General features: G+C 45.5%; 1 protein-coding gene across 5 annotated transcripts in view, besides 2 other annotated features; it reads left to right on the top strand.

Annotated features, from left to right (window-relative positions):
* The window catches only part of DENND5A (DENN domain containing 5A), a 126526-nt gene that overhangs the window by 6994 nt on the left and 100434 nt on the right, over positions 1-19098 (top strand). The window lies entirely within an intron of this gene.
* Positions 5393-6092: an enhancer, noted in NCBI's record as "H3K4me1 hESC enhancer chr11:9273812-9274511 (GRCh37/hg19 assembly coordinates)". NCBI's record gives its function as "activates a minimal SCP1, AML or CMV promoter by ChIP-STARR-seq in primed H9 embryonic stem cells {active_cell/tissue: H9 hESC(primed)}" and the evidence as "EXISTENCE:reporter gene assay evidence [ECO:0000049][PMID:30033119]".
* Positions 7787-7896: an enhancer, noted in NCBI's record as "active region_4402". NCBI's record gives its function as "activates an Ori minimal core promoter by ATAC-STARR-seq in GM12878 lymphoblastoid cells {active_cell/tissue: GM12878}" and the evidence as "EXISTENCE:reporter gene assay evidence [ECO:0000049][PMID:35858748]".

The raw sequence follows: 19098 nt of genomic DNA, 5'->3' as shown, positions 1-19098 counted from the left end.
AAGTGGGAGTTGAACAATGAGAACACATGGATGTAGGGAGGGGAACATCACACACTGGGGCCTGTTGGGGGGGTGGGGGACTAGGGGAGGGATAACATTAGGAGAAATACCTAATGTAGGTGACTGGTTGACAGGTGCAGCAAACCACCATGCCATGCCATGTGTATACCTATGTAACAAAACTGTATGTTCTGCACATGTACCCCAGAACTTAAAGTATAATTTAAAAAGGAAAAAGAAAGAATACTGTGTGTACTGTGTGTAGACCGGGTACGGTGGCTCATGCTTGTAATCCCAGCACTTTGGGAGGTTGAGGTGGGTGGATCACTTGAGGTCAGGAGTTTGAGACCAGCCTGGCCAACATGGTGAAACCCTGTCTCTACTAAAGATACAAAAATTAGCCGGGCCTGGTGGCACACACCTATAATCCCAGCTACTCGGGAGGCTGAGGCGAGAGAATCGCTTGAATCTGGGAGGCGGAGGCTGCAGTGAGCCAAGATGGCGTCACTGCACTCTGGCCTGGGCAACAAAGTGAGACCTTGTCTCAAAAAAAAAAAAAGAATACTGTGTGTGTTGGCTGGGCGCGGTGGCTCACGCCTGTAATCCCAGCACTTTGGGAGGCCGGGGTGGGCGGATCACAAGGTCAGGAGATCGAGACTATCCTGGCTAACACGGTGAAACCCTGTCTCTACTAAAAATTCAAAAAAATTAGCCGGGTGCGATGGCGGGCACCTGTAGTCCCAGCTACTCAGGAGGCTGAGGCAGGAGAATGGCGTGAACCTGGGAGGCGGAGCTTGCAGTGAGCCGAGATCGAGCCAGTGCACTCCAGCCTGGGCAACAGTGTGAGACTCCTTCTCAAAAAAAAAAAAAAAAAGAATACTGTGTGTGATTATCATTAAGGATATCTTTTTTTTTTTTTTTTTTAAGAGACAGAGTCTGTCTCTGTTGCCCAGGCTGGAGTGCAGTGGCACAATCATGACTCACTGCAGCCTCGACCTCCCAGGCCCGTAGCTTTATTGCTTTATCTTTTTTTATAATTTCATATTTAAAGAAGCATTGAGGGCTAGACATGGTTGCTCACGCCTATAATCCCAGCACTTTGGGAGGCTGAGGCAGGTGGATCACTTGAGACCAGCCTGGCCAACACGATGAAACCCCGTCTCTACTAAAAATACAAAAATTAGCCGGGCGTGGTGGTGGGTGCCTATAATCCCAGCTACTCAGGAGGCTGACACAGGAGAATCGCTTGAAATGGGAGGCAGAGGTTGCAGTGAGCCGAGATGGCGCCACTGCACTCCAGCCTGAGTGACTTGGTCTCAGAAAAAAGAAAAAGAAGCATTGACATGAATAGAACAAAGAACTCCAGTATATCTCTTAACCAGATTCACCGATTGTTAACATTTTGCCCCATTTGCTTTATCATTTATGTGTGTGTCCATATATAAACAATTTTATTGAGATATAATTCGTATACCATACAGTTCACTTATTTCAGTGATTTTTAATTTATTTTTACAATTAGTTTTACAATCACACTACAATCCATTTTGAAATGTATTAATCACTCTCCCCTGAAAACCTGTACCCATTAGCAGTTACTCATCATTTTCTCCCAACCCTCTAACCCTGAACCCTAGGCAACCACTCATCTACTTTCTATCTCTATAGATTTGCCTGTTTTTGACATTTCATATAAATGGAGTAATATGTGTGGTCTCTTGTTACTGGCTTCTTTCACTTAGCATAATGTTTTCAAGGTTCACTCATGTTGTAGCATGTATCAGTTTGTCATTCCTGTTTATGCCAGAAAAATATGCCATGGTATGAATATACAACATTTTATTTGTTTATCCATTAGTGGAAGGACATTGGATTGTTTTCTTCTTTTTTTTTTCTGAGACAGAGTTTCATTCTTGTTGCTCAGGCTGGAGTGCAATGGCGCAATCTCGGCTCACTGCAACCTCCGCCTCCCAGGTTCAAGTGATTCTCCTGCCTCAGCCTCCTGAGTAGCTGGGATTACAGGCATGTACCACCACGCCTAGCTAATTTTTGTATTTTTAGTAGAGACGGGGTTTCACCACGTTGGCCAGGCTGGTCTTGAACTCCTGACTTCATGATCCACCCACCTTGGCCTCCTAAAGTGCTGGGATTACAGGCACAAGCCACCGTGCCCGGCCTTCAGTTTTTGATTGTTTTGAATAATGCTATGAACATTTGTGTACACTTCTTTTTTTGTGTGTAGGCCTATGTTTTCATTTCTCTTTGCTGAATACTTAGGAATGAAATTACTGGGTCATATAGTAACTGTGTTTAACCTTTTTTTTTTTTTTTGAGATGGAGTTTCGCCGTGTTGCTCACGCTGGGGTGCAATGGCGCGATCTTGGCTTACTGCAACCACTGCCTCCCGGGTTCAGGCCATTCTCCTTCCTCAGCCTCTTGAGTAGCTGGGATTACAGGTACCCGTTACCAAGCCTGGATTTTTTTTTTTTTTTTAGACGGAGTCTCACTCTGTCGCCCAGGCTGGAGTGCAGTGGCACAATCTTGGCTCACTGCAACCTCTGCCTCCCGGGTTCAAGCAATTATCCTGCCTTGGCCTCCCAAGTAGCTGGGACTACAGGTGTGCACCACTATGCCCAGCTAATTTTTGTATTTTGTACTAGAGACAGAGTTTCACCATATTAGACAGGCTGGTCTCGAACTCCTGACTTCATGATCCACCTGCCTCTGCCTTCCAAAGTGCTGGGATTACAGGCGAGAGCCACTGCGCCAGTCAATTTTTGTATTTTTAGTAGAAACGGGGTTTTACCATGTTGGCCAGGCTGGTCTCGAACTCCTGACCTCAGGTCATTCACCTGCCTCGACCTCCCAAAGTGCTGAGATTACAGGTAAGAGCCACCGCACCTGGCTGCCCGACTAATTTTTAATTTTTTTGTAGAGACGAGGTCTCACCATCTTGCCCAGGCAGGTCTTAAACAACCTGAAAAATGATACTCCCGACTTGGCCTCCCAAAGTGCTGGGATTACAGGCGTGAGCCACCGCGCCCGGCCGTGTTTAACCTTTTGAGAGACTGCCTGCCAGTCTGTTTTCCAAAACAGCTGCACTAGTGTACATTTCCAATAGCAGTGTATGAGAATTCCACTTTATTCATATCCTTACCAATACTTATCTATTGGTTTATAGCCATCTTAGTGGCTGTAAGTGGTATCTCATGGTTTTAATTTGCATATCCTAGAAGACAAAGATTTTTATTTTTATTATTTTATTTTATTTTATTTATTATTTTTTGAGACAGAGTCTTGTTTTGTGGCCCAGGCTGGAGTGCAGTAGCACGATCTTGGCTCACTGCAACCTCTGCCTCCTGGGTTCAAGCGATTCTCATGCCTCAGCCTCCCGAGTAGCTGGGATTACATGCATCTGCCATCACGCCCAGCTAATTTTTGTATTTTTAGTAGAGATGGGGTTTCACCATGTTGCCCAGGCTGGTCTCGAACTCTTGACCTCATGATCCACCCTCCTTGGCCTCTTAAAGGGCTGGGATTACAGGTGTGAACCACCACACCTTGCCGACTGAGACTTTTAAATAAGACTTCTTATTTAAAAGAGAAAAGGATATCCCTCCCCAGAGATGAAGTAGCTATAAAAAGTTTTATGAGCCAGTTTCAAACTGGGAGTCGATGTGGACTACACTTAATTTTCATCTTCCTCTACTGGGCTGGTTGATTCTGGGCAGATTCTTGTGGTCATTTAAAAAGGCATCTTTGCTCTGAAGCCCAGATTACTAGCTGCAGCAAAACTCAAAATCTTATGGCTTATCTCAGACATCTGTGGATGCTTCCAGAAGTCAAGCCTACTGAAGTACGGAAAGAGTTCTTAAGTTAGGTTATGTGTTTTCTTTTTTTAGGTAGAACAAGTAAGAAGTCAGGAGAGATGAGACCCACACACAGAAAACAATTACAGAGTAGCCCAAGGCAGTTAAAATACAAGCTAAATTTCTGTATATATACATATTTTGAGATGTGGTCTGGCTTAAAAAAGCCAGACCCAGGCTAGGGTACAGTGGACAATCATACCTCACTTCCTCGGCGTTTCTGAGCCTCGAATTTCTGAGCTCAAGGGATCCTCCTACCTTAGCCTCTTGAGTACTTGGGACTACAGGCAAGTGCCACCACACCTGGCTTTTTTTTTTTTTTTTTTTTTCTGAGACAGAGTTTCGCTCTTGTTGCCCAGGCTGGAATGCAATGGTGCGATCTTGGCTCACTGCAACCTCTGCCTCCCGGGTTCAAGCGATTCTCCTGCCTCGGCCTCCTGAGTAGCTGGGATTATAGGCATGCGCCACCATGCCTGGCTAATTTGTATTCTTAGTAGAGATGGGGTTTCTCCATGTTGGTCAGGCTGGTCTTGAACTCCAGACCTCAGATGATCCGCCCGTCTCGGCCTCCCAAAGTGCTGGGATTACAGGTGTGAGCCACTGCGCCCATTGTTGTTTTTTTGAGACAGGGTCTCACCCTGTTGCCCAGGCCAAAGTGCAGTGGTGTGATCATGGTTTACTACAACCTTGACCTCCTGGGCTCAAGTGATCCTCCCACCTCAGCCTCTAGGTAGCTGGAACTACAGGTGTGCATCACTATACCTGCTAATGGGCCCAGGCTGGTCTTGAACCTCTGGGCTCAAGTGATCTGCCCACCTCGGCCTCCCAAAATGCTGGGATTATTGGTATAAGCCACCGCACCTGGCTGCCCAACTAATTATTATTTTTTTGTAGGGATGGGTTCTCACCATCTTGCCCAGGCTGGCCTTAAACAGCTTGAACAGTGATACTCCCGACTCAGCCTCCCAAAGTGCTGGGATTATAGACATGAACCACCATGCCTGGCTGAGACTGTATATTCTAAAGAGAACGCTATTTGACTCCATCAGGCAGGGAGGATCATACTGAAATTAGTGGATTTTACTTTAATGATATTGGGGCCCTGCAATTTTCTTCATAGAAGGAAATCCTGAGTCACAGTGTTTGGTGCTTAAACCAAATTCTCTTAGAGTCTGCTCAGCCCTTCCTTCCTTCCTAGGTTAAAAATAAAGTTTTCTTTGCCTAAAGCCTCCTTTGGTAACACCCCTTTCCAGTCCTACATCCTTTTATAAGCTTGTTTTTTGGCTTTGTTGGAAGGTGTACTTGGGCTTCGCTCAGCTTGTAAATTCCTGTTGTGGCCAGGTATGGTAGCTCATGCCTGTAATCCCAGCACTTTGAGGGGCCGAGTGGGGGAGGATGGCTTTAGGCCAGGAGTTTGAGACAATCCTGGGCAACATGGCGAGACTCGGGTCTCTACAGAAAATAGAAAAATTAGCCTGGTGTAGTGGTGTATGTCTGTGGTTCCAGTTCCTTGGGATGCTGAGGTTGGCAGATCAGCTGAGTCCAGGGAGGTCCAGACTGTGGTGAGCCATGATTGTGCCACTGCACTCCAGCCTGGGCAATAGGGTGAGACCCTGACTCAAAAAAAAAAAAAAATCCTGTTGCTGTCCCTGGCTTTGAATTACTGTCAGATAGTCTTAGAGGTCTCTTAGGAACCTGGGTACACATGAAGGAACCTATACTTCATATGTTGATATGTTTTAGGTTCCTGCTAGAGATGGCCTAATGTCCAGTGAGAAAGAGGCTTGCCTTTCAGAAGCTGGTGACTTCCTTGTGGAATTCAGTTTTTTGGTTTTTTTTTTTGAGACGGAGTCTCACTCTGTCACCCAGGCTGGAATATAATGGTGCGATCTTGGCTACTGCAGCCTCCGCCTCCAAGGTTCAAGCAATTCTTCTGCCTCAGCCTCCTGAGTAGCTGGGACTACATGCAAGCGCCACCACACCTGGCTAATTTTTGTATTTTTGGTAAAGACGCTTTCGTCATGTTGGCCAGGCTGGTGTTGAATTCCTGACCTCAGGTGATCCACCCACCTCTGCCTCCTAAAGTGCTGGGATTACAGGCATGAGCCACTGCACCTGGCCGAATTCAGTAATTAAACACAGGCTATTACGGCCAGATTTTTATATTTAGTTCTTTTTTTTTTTTTTTTTTTGAGACGGAGTCTTGCTCTGTCGCCCAGGCTGGAGTGCAGTGGTGTGACTGCGGCACTGCAACCTCTGCCTCCCGGGTTCAAGCGATTCTCCTGCCTTGGCCTCCCGAGTAGCTGGGACTACAGGCGCGTGCTACCATGCCCAGCTAATTTTTGTGTTTTTAGTAGACATGCGGTTTCACCATGTTAGCCAGAATGGTCTCCATCTCTGGACCTCGTGATCCGCCCGCCTCGGCCTCCCAAAGTGCTGAGATTACAGGCATGAGCCACTGCACCTGGCCAGATTTAGTTCTTTTTTCTTTTTTTTCGCGAGACAGAGTCTCGCTCTGTCGCCCAGGCTGGAGTACGGTGGTGCCATCTCGGCTCACTGCAAGCTCCGCCTCCTAGGTTCACGCCATTCTCCTGCCTCAGCCTCCCGAGTAGCTGAGACTGCAGGGGCCTGCCACCACGCCAGTCTAATTTTTTGTATTTTTAGTAGAGACGGGGTTTCACTGTGTTAGCCAGGATGGTCTCGATCTCCTGACCTCGGAATCCGCCCGCCTCGGCCTCCCAAAGTGCTGGGATTACAGGTGTGAGCCACCGCACCCAGCTGGATTTAGTTCTTAAAAGTTACTAAGTGAAGCAGTTAGTCAAATGCCATATTCCAAATCTTCTGTGGTTGCTGATTTTCATTTGGCGTATGTAGAACCCTGGGCTGAGTCTTATGAGTGGTAGAATCCTGGCATGGCAGAAAATGAGAGTGTGTGCCAGATGTCAAGTTGTTTTCAGTATGCCTTCAGGGGATCAGATATGACTCAGGAAGTAAGATGGCAATAGGTATAGTTTAGACCGTTGTGTTTCTCAAATATTGTACTGTCTTTGATATTTGCTTGTTGTCGTACATGGAATCTCTTGTAGAGCTTCCTGTTAAAGAGAACCAGGTTAGTAATTTTTTATTTTTTATTGTTCATTATGTGATGGGTAAGTCAGGTTAAAATTTTGCTTGGCCATCTGTGGTCTACTTTATGTACTGAACTAGCTGGGTTAGCCTAAAATGCTTTCCTGGAATGCTGAGAGGTCTGAGCAGTGAAAAGTCTGTAGAGGTTTCTCACATTGAGTTTCATTCCTCTGTGAATGTGGGATTCCTTGATATCTTTCTTTCTTTTTTTTTTTTTTTTTTTGTTTGAGATGGAGTGTCACTCTCTTGCCCAGGCTGGAGTGCAGTGGCTTGATCTCAGCGCACTGTAACCTCTGCCTCCTGGGTTCAAGCGATTCTCCTGCCTCAGCCTCCCAAGTAGCTGGAATTACAGGTGCCTGCCACCATGCCCAGCTAATTTTTGTATTTTTAGTAGAGAGGGGGTTTCACCATGTTGGTCGGGGCTGGCCTCGAACTCCTGACCTTAGGTGACCCACCCGCCTCAGCCTGCCAAAGTGCTGGGATTACAGGCGTGAGCCACCGCACCCGGCCGGAAGTCCTTGATTTCTAAACTATTCCAGTTGGCCAAACAATGTATGTGCATTGGTTTATATTGGTCACAGAATCAAAAAATGTCAGAGCTAGAAATCAGAGATAGTTCAGCTATCACTTTTGACAGATGGTAATGATTAATATTTATAAATGACTTTGTAGTTTTACACTGTACTTTTAAATGATTTTTAATTTTTTTAGCCCCGCTTGAAATAAAATTGTTTGTCCATTGTTACCCACCAAGTTAGAAAGATCTGTTAGAATCCAGGTCTTCTGTTTGCTGTCTTACTATTACTGAGGTTTGTTTGTTTTTTTAAAATTATAGATGTGGGAAAACTGAAGCAGTGGCATAATCGTTGAAATGCAGAGCTGTAGTGCGACCTCTTTGTGGTTCAGTCTCCAGCCCACATTGCAGTAGAGGAGCTGTGTCAGGAGAGGAGACAGGTTGCTTGTTTTCAGAATTGTGGTTAACAACAACCATTGTTCTTTCCTCTTTCCCCACTCTTTATCAGTTCTGGAAATGTTTTTCTTAGACTAGGTAGTTACTAGGGGTTTGCTTCTAAGAAACTTTTTTTTTTTTGGTGACAGTTTCAGGATGTTTTATGCTTTTTGCCTGGGTCTGTCTTCTTTGAAGGAAAAAAAAGATTTGCATCTGCTAACCTCAGAAATCCCTCAGTGTAGCCTATAATATGCATGTTTTGTAGTTGTAGTTCGGGGGCTGGCTGTGACTTCTGATTAGCCATATTCTTGATAATAAAATGATATGGAAAACACCTGAGAAATTTTAAGGATTTTTTTTTTTTTTTTAAATTTTATTTTTAAAGGCATGAACACAGAAGAGGAAATGGTTTAGAAAGAATAATTGGGCCAGGTGCGATGGCTCGATCCTGTAATCTCACCACTTTGGGAAGCTGAGGTAGGAGGATCCCTGGAACTCAGGAGTTTGAGGCTAGCCCGGGCAACGTAGTGCAACACTGTCTCTACAAAAAAATTTAAAAATGAGGCCGGGCACGGTGGCTCATGCCTGTAATCCCAGCACTTTGGGAAGCCGAGGTGGGTGGATCACCTGAGGTCAGGAGTTCGAGAACAGCCTGGCTAACATGGTGAAACCCCATTTCTACTAAAAATACACAAAAATTAGCCAGGCATGGTGGTGGGCGCCTGTAATCCCAGCTACTTGGGAGGCTGAGGCAGGAGAATTGCTCGAACCTGGAGGCAGAGGTTGCAGTGAGCTGAGATTGCGCCATTGCACTCCAGTTTGGGCAACAAGAGCGAAACTCTGTCTCAAAAAAATACAATAAAATACAATAAAATAAAAAAATATAAAAATGAGCCCAGTGTGATGGCATGTGCCTCAGCTCCAGAGGACGAGCTGGGAGGATCGTTTGAGCCTGGGAGGTCCAGGCTGCAATGAGCTGTGATTGAGCCACTGCATTCCAGCCTGGGCAGCATAGCTAGACCCTGTCTCAAAAAGAAACAAAAAAAGAAATAATCACAGGCCACAATTATAAGACAGTAAATGAATAAACCTGATTTATAACAAATTACATGCTTTTTCGTTACAACACGTTAGAATTACTTTCCAGGAGTGTCAGAGGACTTGGTTCTTTTTCTTTTTTTTTTTGAGTCGGAGTCTCGCTCTGTCTCCCAGGCTGGAGTGCGGTGGCACTATCTCAGCTCACTGCAAGCTCCACCTCCCGGGTTCACGCCATTCTCCTGCCTCAGCCTCCTGAGTAACTGGGACTACAGGCGCCCACCACCACGCCCGGCTAATTTTTTTGTATTTGTAGTAGAGACAGGGTTTCACCACGTTAGCCAGGATGGTCTCGATCTCCTGACCTCGTGATCCGCCCACCTAAGTGCTGGGATTACAGGTGTGAGCCACCGCGCCCAGCCAGGACTTGGTTATTTTTTCAGGTGTATCATCTCTGATGCCTTTTTCATTCTTTCTTTTTGTAGTTTTAGAACAATGGCCCTCTAACAATGTTTTAGCCTAGTTATGAAGATAGCTACTAATTTTGGGATATATTGTTAATATTGTTGAAGAAAACTAAATATTTTATTTTGGGTAAGTTAGATGTGTAAACCAAAAGTAAAATCCTAAGCCCCTCAGCCAATTGAATGCCCACCCAAGGGGACCCTAGAGAAACCTGAAAAACTAAATTCCAGGTCATGACTCAAAGGGAGGTTGGCCATCCCTCATTATACCCCTCTCTTTTGCCCAGGCTGGAATGCAGGGGCTCAATCACAGCGCAGTTCAGCCTAGACCTCCCAGGTTCAAGCCATCCTCCTACTCAGCCTCTGGAGTAGCTGCGACCACAGACACATGCCACCACACCTGTCTCATTTTTAAATTTTTTGTAGAGATAGTGAGTGTGTCACTATGTTGCCCAGGCTGGTCTTGAACTCCTGGGCTCAAGGGATCCTCCTACCTCAGCTTCTCTCTCTCTTTTGGAGAGGGGTATAATGAGGCATGGCCAACCTCCCTTTAAGTCATGACCACCATTAATGTTAAAATGGAGATCATAAGACTGACAAAAGAAACTCTGACAATAAGATACGAAATTCCAGCTGGGCGCTGTGGCTCATGCCTGAAATCCCAGCATTTTGGGAGACTGAGGAAGGTGGATCACTTGAATCCAGGAGTTCCAGAGCAGCCTAGGCAACATGGTGAAACCCCGTCTTTACAAAAAAGACAAAAATTAGCCAAGCGAGGTGTCACCCACCTGTAGAACCAGGTACTCGAGAGGCCTGATGTGGAGGATTGCTTGAGCCTGGGAGGCAGAGGTTGCAGTGAGATCAAGCCACTGCACTCTAGCCTGGGCAACAGAGCAAGATCCTGTCTCAAAAACAAAACAAAACAACCCAAAGATAACCAAATTCCAACCTGACTCTATCTAGCATCATATGACACATAGCAGACCCTGAAGGAAATAAAAGTATTTTACCCCAAAATGTATTTCTTTGAGATGTTTTAAAATGGCCCTGCAAAGCTGTCTTTTGTGGGGGAAATTTGAGTCTGTAGAGAATCTCCATTAGTACAGACAGGGCTTTCCCAGATCTAGCAGATTATCTAAGAGTTGGATACCTTTTAAGGTCTGAAAAGAGATATTTACCATCTATACTCTTGGTTACCTGGAGGCTTCATCCAAAATTTGTAAACCAAAACCAACCTGTAACATGAGCATCTCAGGCACAAGAACGTGTTGAGACTGTTCCCTGGGCCATGGTCGTTCATATTGATTCAAAATAAATCTCTTTAAATATTTTAGAGCTTGTTTTTTTTTTTCTTCACTAGGTGTCTCTCTCCTTGTTTTTCTTAGAGTTTTTATTTGATAAAAACATTTTTTATTTTTTTCTTGATTTTAAAAGCCATAGGTCAGTATGAAAATGGAAACATTATAGAGCTGTATTATAAACTCCTTTGTCTCAGAGTTGTTGTAGAACTAAATTGGAGTCTGCTTGCCCAGTGCAGTAGAACCAGTTATCTACACTGATATTTGCAGTCATTGAAAGAAAGGCTTTTACTGCAGGGTGCCAAGCAAGGAGGACGAGGCAGCTGAATGTTCAAATCCTGGCCTCCCCAGTGGCTTGCAGGCAAGGGTTTTTTTTTTTTTTTTTTAAGACGGAGTCTCGCTCTGTCGCCCAGGCTGGAGTGCAGTGGCACGATCTCGGCTCACTGCAAGCTCCGCCTCCCGGGTTCACGCCGTTCTCCTGCTTCAGCCTCCCAAGTAGCTGGGACTACAGGCGCCTGCCACCATGCCCAGCTAATTTTTTCTATTTTTTAGTAGAGACGGGGTTTCACCGTGTTAGCCAGATGGTCTCGATCTCCTGACCTCGTGATCTGCCCACCTCGGCCTCCCAGAGTGCTGGGATTACAGGCGTGAGCCACCGCGCCCGGCCAAGGCAAGGGTTTTTAAAGGTATGGGTAAATTTCAGGAAAGCAGGAGCTGCAGGCAAAATTGTGAATCAATACTTGGAGGTTACACATTGATTTAAGCCTAAAAGGAAGCGCTGTCTTGAAGTGGGGTTTATGGGTTGTAGGTAGATGCAAAGATTTTCTGATTTGCAGTTGGTTAAGGAAGAAAAGCTTTGTATAAAAATTTGGGGTCAGTAGCAAAATGATAACTAGTTAGGGGGAGTGACTTTCTTTAAGCCCTTCAGGAACAAACCTTAGAACCTTAGAAAGTTATGATGGTTAACTTTCAGTGTTTACTTCCTTTTTTTTTTTTTTTTTTTTGAGACTTAGTTTCACTCTGTGGCCTAGGCTGGAGTACAGTGGTGCAATCTCTGCTTACTGTAACCTCCACCCCCTGGGTTCAAGTGATTCTCCTGCCTCAGCCTCCTGAGTAGCTGGGACTACAGGAGCGTGCCACCACACCTGGCTGATTTTTTGTATTTTTAGTAGAGATGGGATTTCACCATGTTAGCCAGGATGGTCTCAATCTCCTGACCTCATGATCCTCCCGCCTGGGCCTCCCAAAGTGCTGGGATTACAGGCATGAGCCACCCCACCTGGCCCTACATCCTTTTATCTAAGGTCTATGTGTCCGGTGTGGAACCTCAGTGGGTGTCTGAATTTCTGAAAGACAGCTCAGGGACACATTTTAAGATGTTCTCCTTAGTTTGTGTGGGGAAAGCAAACATCTCTGTCACTGACTTCTTTGGCTATTGTTTTAGGCTACTGTCTTGTTTAACAGGTTGCTCAGTCACTTCTAGGGCTAGCTAGGGCGCTGGAATTTTCCTTGAAGGAACTCATATTTTCCTTTATTTCCATGCTTGGGGTCTGCAGGCCCTAAAAAAGGGGTCCCGGCTCCATCTCAGAGTCAGGTAGGCAAATTTCTTAACTTTGGTAGAAAAACGTACTTTATGTAGTAGGTGCTTAATGAATATTTGTTGTATTAATTATGAAGAGATAGGTTGGGCATGGTGGCTCACGCCTATAATCCCAGCACTTTGTGAGGCTGAGGCAGGCGGATCACCTGAGGTCAGGAGTTTGAGACCTGCCTGGCCAACATGGTAAAACCCCGTCTCTACTAAGAATACAAAAATTAGCTGAGCGTGGTGGTCCACGCCTGTAGTCCCAGCTACTTGGGAGGCTGAGGCAGGAGAATCACTTGAATTTGGGAGGCGGAGGTTGCAGTGAGCCAAGATCGTGCCACTGCACTCCAGCCTAGGGGACAGAGTGAGACTCCCTCTCAACAATAAATAAATAAAATTAAATTAAAAATAGAGGCTGCCTATTCGGACTTTTTTCCCCCGAGACGGAGTCTTGCTCTGTAGCCCAGGGTGGAGTGCAGTGTTGCGATCTCAGCTCACTGCAACCTCCGCCTTCCGGATTCAAGCAATTCTCCTGCCTCAGCCTCTCGAGTAGCTGGGATTACTGGTATGCACCACCATGCCCAGCTAATTTTTGTATTTTTAGTAGAGATGGGGTTTCACCATGTTGGCCAGGCTGGTCTCGGACTGCTGACCTCAGGTAATCCTCCTGCCTTGACCTCCCAAAGTGCTGGGATTACAGGTATGAGCCACTGCATTTTTTGTTTTTTTTGTGTTTTTTTTTTTTTTTGGTGACAGTCTTGCTCTGTCGCCAGGCTCAGGTGCAGTGGCACTATCTCAACTCACTGCAGCCTCCACCTCCTGGGTTCAAGCGATTCTCCTGCCTCAGCCTCCTGAGTAGCTGGGACTATAGGCGCGTGCCACCATGCCCAGCTAATTTTTTTGTATTTTTAGTAGAAACGGGGTTTCAGCATGTTGGCCAAGATGGTATTGGTCTCCTGACCTCGTGATTCACCCGCCTTGGCCTCCCAAAGTGCTGGGATTACAGGCATGAGCCACCGCACCCGGCCTGAAGCCTCTTTTAAAAGGGCCTTGGAGCCAAGCACGGTGGCTCACGCCTGTAATCCCAGCACTTTCGGAGGCCAAGGAGGGTGGATCGCTTGAGCCCAGGAGTTCGAGACCAGCCCCGGCAACACGGCGAAACCCTGTCTCTATGAATAAAGATACAAACATTAGCTTTCTGGGTTGCGTGTGCCTGTAGTCCCAGATCCTCAGGAGACTGAGGTGGGAGGATTGCTTGAGCCCAGGAAGTGGGGTTGCAGTGAGCTGAGATAGTGACACTGCACTCTAGCCTGAGTGACAGAGCCAGACCTTATCTCCAAAAATAAATAAATAAATAAAATAGGCTGAGCGTGGTGGCTAATGCCTGTAATCCCAGCACTTTGGGAGGCCGAAGCGGGCGGATCACCCGAGGTCAGGAGTTCAAGACCAGCCTGACTGACAGGGAGAAACCCGGTCTCTACTAAAAATACAAAATTAGCTGGGCGTGGTGGCACATGCCTGTAATCCCAGCTACTTGGGAGACTGAGGCAGGAGAATCACTTGAACCTGGGAGGCGGAGGTTGCGGTGAGCTGAGATCACACCATTGCACTCCAGCTTGGGCAACAAGAGCGAAACTCCGTCTCAAAAAAATAAATAAAAATAAATAAAATAAATAAATTAAAAAAGGCCTTAATCCCATTAACAAGGGAGCAGCTCTCATGGCCTAATCACCTGTTAAAGGCCTCACCTCTTCATACTATCACATTGGCAACACCTGAATTTTGGAAAGGACACATTTAAACCACAGCAGAAATACAATAGAAATTTAGGAGTATCATCTGCTAAACCAACATCCAGTTTTGCTGAACTCTGAGGTTCTGTATGTCCAAATACACTTGACTCTTGAACCAAGTTGGGGGTTAGGGGCACTAATTCTCTGTGTAGCAGAAAATCCACAAGTAACTTTTGACTCCCTGAAAACTTTACTAACAGCCTACTGCTGACTGGAAACCTTACCAATAACACAAATAGTTAATTAACACATATTTTGTATGTTAAATGTATTATATACTGTAGTCTCACAATAAAGTAAGCTAGAGAAAACATAATCATAAGGGAAATAAAATATTATTTTTTGTGTGTGTGAGATGGAGTCTCGTTCTGTCGCCCAGGCTGGAGTGCAGTGGTGTGATCTTGGCTCACTGCAACCTCTGCCTCCCAGGTTCAAGTGATTCTCCTGCCTCAGCCTCCCAAGTAGCTGGGACCACAGGCACCCACCACCACGCCCGGCTAATTTTTGTATTTTTAGTAGAGACAGGGTTTCACCATATTGGCCAGGCTGGTGTCAAACTCCTGACCTTGTAATCCGCCTACCTTGGCCTCCCAACGTGCTGGGATTGCAGGTGTGAGCCACCGTGCCTGGCTGGGAAATAAAATATATTTATCCTTCAGGAAGTGGAAGTGGATCATTTAAAAGGTCTTTATGCTCATCATCTTCACACTGAGTAGGCTGAAGAGGAAGAGGAGGAGTTGGTCTTACTGTCTTGGAGTGGCAGAGGTGGAAGAAAATCTATGTATAAGTGTACCCACACAGTTGAAACCCATGTTGTTCAAGGGTCAACCGTAGTGTGTAATCCCTTTCTTTGTTAAATATTTAATCTAATATACCCCACCCCATTTTCTCACAACATCTGTGTGAAGTACATTCTTTCCCCTGCGTATTAAAAGTAGTACATTTTGAATTTTATCTACTAGAAGAATGTTTAGTGTTTTGTGGAGGATTGTCAGTCTGCCCATCTAGCTCTGTTAACTACTTAGCTCAGTTAGTTATGAGTGTGGTGCATTTAATGAGGCCAAAGTCATTGAGTTAGTCTCCAGAAGAGCAGTTATTCCAATTAGCCTTACTCGCCTCAGTTTTTTTTTTTGTTTTTTTTTTTTTTTTTGAGACAGAGTCTCGCTGTGTCGCCCAGGCTGGAGTGCAGTGGTGCAATCTCAGCTCACTGCAACTTCTGCCTCCTGGGCTCAAGTGATCTTCCTGCCTCAACCTCCCGAGTAGCTGGGATTACAGGTGAGTGCCACCACGCCTGGCTAATTTTTGTATTTTTAGTAGAGACAGAGTTTCACTATGTTGGCCAGGCTGGTCTCGAACTCCTGACCTCGTTATCCACCCGCCTCGGCCTCCGAAAGTGCTGGGATTACAGGTGTGAGCCACCACGCCTGGCCTCGACCCCCTTTTATGCTAGCCTCAGCTGACCATCCTGCTCACTAGTACACTGTGGGTCATAGGGGGCCAAAAACATGAGGCTGGTAACATTCCATCCCTGTTATTCATAGATGATATTTAAGTTAATGGTTGTTTTTTTATTGAATACATTTCAATGCCAGGTATTAGATGGTATTATCCCCATGTTGGAGATTAGGAAACTAAAGTGCAGAGAGTTTGAATAACATGCCCGAGACTATAAAGCAAGAATTGGAAGCCTGTTCTCCCTGTCTCTAAAGTCTTCTACTTTTGTGTTATTGAAAGACCAACTTAGTGATGGGGCACTTGTTTGCAAAGATGTGTAAGTGAGACAGTCACTGTCCTTAAGGGGCTCATAGTCTTCTGAGGGGTTAGGCGTGTAAGCCAATAATGACAATGCACTGTGATAAATGATATAACGAAGGTATGTTTATAATTGAGAGTGAGTGTCTTGCAATCAGTGATTGTCTAGAAGATCTCAAAGTTAGTTTTCTCTGTTTTTTATTCCCTCCTTCAGCTCTTATTTACTGAGTTCCCGTTATTTACTAGTCACTATTTTAGGTTCTTAAGACACATCAATGAGTGAAACTGCCTTTGTGAAGCTTTGGTTTTAGTGGAGGGAGACATTGAAAAATAAACATAATGAACCAGTAATTTACATAGTATGTTAGGAAGTGAAAAGTGCTGTGGAAACAGTAAACAGGGTTAATGGGATCAGGAATGTTAGGGCAGGGTGGAGACAGATGTTGTACTTTTTTTTTTTTTTTTTTTTTTGAGACGGAGTTTCGCTCATGTTGCCCAGGCTGGAGCGCAATGGTGCAATCTCTGCTCACCACAACCTCCACCTCCCAGATTCAAGCGATTCTCCTGCCTCAGCCTCCCGAATAGCTAGGATTACAGGCATGCGCCACCATGCCCGGCTAATTTTGTAATTTTAGTAGAGATGGGGTTTCTCCACATTTATCAGGCTGGTATTGAACTTCCGACCTCAGGTGATCCGCCCGCCTTGGCCTCCCAAAGTGCTGGGATTACAGGCGTGAGCCACCGCGCCCAGCTGATGTTGTACTTTTAATAGGATGGTCAGGGTATACCTCACTGAGAGGATGACAATTTCAGGAGAATTCTAAGGAGTCAAAGGAGTGAGCCATATGTATATGTGGAGAAACGTATTTCAGGCAGAGAGAAGAGCCTGTGCGAGGGCCATAAGCTAGGAGTATACTTGATGTATTAGAATTGTTTACAATGTTACTGAGGTTGGAGGTAGTAAGTGAGGGGACAAGTGGTGGGAAGATGAGATTAGAGAGGAAGGGAGAGGGAGTGTGGGGGAAAGATGTAGGGCTTTATAGGCCAGTGGTTCTCGTTGTCTGGTCTCTGGACCAGTAGTATCAGCATCACCTGAGAACTTCTTAGAAATGTACATTTTAACCCCACCCTTTACCCGCTGAATCATAAACTCTGGGGATGGGGCCTAGAAACCTGTATGTTAACAAGCCACTGTCCTGATGCATACTAAGGTTTGAGAACCACAGTTTTGGCTACTGTAAGAGTTTTAATGTTACGCACCTACATGACTGCAAATTCTTAGGACTGATGTAGCTTTAAGTTCAGTACCCGAATAACTGTAGAGCTTTGGCTTTAGAGTCTTTCAGTTCTGGTTTCAAATTATGGCTTCCTCACTTTCTAGTTATGGGGACTTGGATCAGCTTGTGAGGATTACATGAGGGGAAGAATACACAAACATCACACACAGACATGCACATACACAGACAGAGTTACTAGGGAAGATGAGTCTCTGTCAAGACAACTATTCACATGAAAGAACTTCCAAATTTTGGACTGCTTAAGTTTAGAAGTTGAATTATTAGCTGGTTGTTAACATACCTCATACCACATCTATCAGCCACATTTTTTGTTTCTACTTGAGGTTTTGTGATCCTGTCATGGGTAGTTGCCTGTCAGGAATAAAATCAACACCTATAACCCCTATCAGGGTCTATGTTGAGTGCTAGAGAAGAGAAGGGCAGGCACACTGAAACAAGGCAGGAAAGGATCAGTTCTTCAGTTCTTTTTTTTTGTTTTGAGACAGGGTCTCACTCTGTTGCCCAGGCTGGAGTACGGTGGCACCATCTCAGCTCACTGCAAACTCTGCCTCCAGGGCTCAAGTGATCCTCCCACCTCATCGTCCTGAGTAGCTGCGACTACAGGCAGGTGCCACCAATCCTGTATATTTTTTGTCTTTTTTCTAGCGATGGGTTTTCACCACGTTGCCCAGGCTGGTCTCTAACTCCTGGACTCAAGTAATTTGCCTGCTTTGGCCTCCCAAAGTGTTGGGATTACAGGCGAGTGCCCCTGCGCCCAGTCAGGATCAGTTTTTGTTTGTTTGTTTGTTTTTGAGACGGAGTTTTCACTCTTGTCGCCCAGGGTGGAGTGCAATGGTGCAACCTTGGCTCACTGCAACCTCCACCTCCCGGGTTCAAGCGATTCTCCAGCCTCAGCCTCAACGAGTAGCTGGGATTACAGGTGCTCACCACAACGCCTGGTTAATTTTTGTATTTTTAGTAGAGATGGGGTTTCACCATGTTGGCCAGGCTGGTCTCAAACTCCTGACCAGCCTTGGCCTCCCAAAATGCTGGGATTACAGACGTGAGCCACCACGCCCAGCCTAGGATCAGTTCTTTAAAAGGAACAGATGATGGTGTGTTGTTGGGGTTCAAGAGAGGGAAAGAGTACTATTATCTAGCTTTGCAGTTTATGTCTTGGAAAATTTACTATAGAGGGCGTAGCTCTGGGTGTGACCCTGAACAAAAACATAATCTCTATGATTTATTCATTGATTAATTTAATAATCACTTAATATGTGGAAAAATACCCGAGGGACTATACATAAATTATAGAATCTGAGGGTTGAAAGAGAGGGACACAACTAGAAAGTGAGGGAACCATGATTTGAACTCTTGGGATAGGAAAGAAACATGAAGGTCATCCATATAAGGAATGGCATTTTTCTCTCTTTAAAAATAAAACGTTGGCCAGGCATGGTAGCACATGCCTGTAATCCCAGCACTTTGGGAGGCAGAGGCAGGAGGATGGCTTGAGCCCAGGATTTCGAGACCAGCCTGGGCAACATAGCAAGACCTCGTCTCTACAAAAAATGAAAAGCTGAGTGTAGTGGTGCATGCCTGTAGTCTCAGCTACTTGGGAGGCGGAGGCAGGAGGATGGCTTGAGCCCAGGATTTCGAGACCAGCCTGGGCAACATAGCAAGACCTTGTCTCTACAAAAAATAAAAAGCTGAGTGTAGTGGTGCATGCCTGTAGTCTCAGCTACTTGGGAGGCTGAGGCAGGAGGATTGCTTGAGTCTGAGGGGTTGAGGCTGCCGTGAGTCATGATGACACCACTGTACTCCAGCCTGGGCAACTGAACAAGACCCTGTCTCAAAAAAAAAAAAAAAAAAAGTTTAGCCAGGTGTGGTGGTGTGCACTTGTAGTCCCAGCTACTTGGGAGGCTGAGGCAGGAAGATTGCTTGAGCCCG

The sequence above is a fragment of the Homo sapiens genome, chromosome 11 (genome assembly GCF_000001405.40).
Source record: "Homo sapiens chromosome 11, GRCh38.p14 Primary Assembly".
NCBI classification, from domain to species: Eukaryota; Metazoa; Chordata; class Mammalia; order Primates; family Hominidae; genus Homo; species Homo sapiens.
The sequence above is the reverse complement of the archived record's forward strand: the minus strand, read 5'-3'. Positions and strand labels throughout refer to the sequence as shown.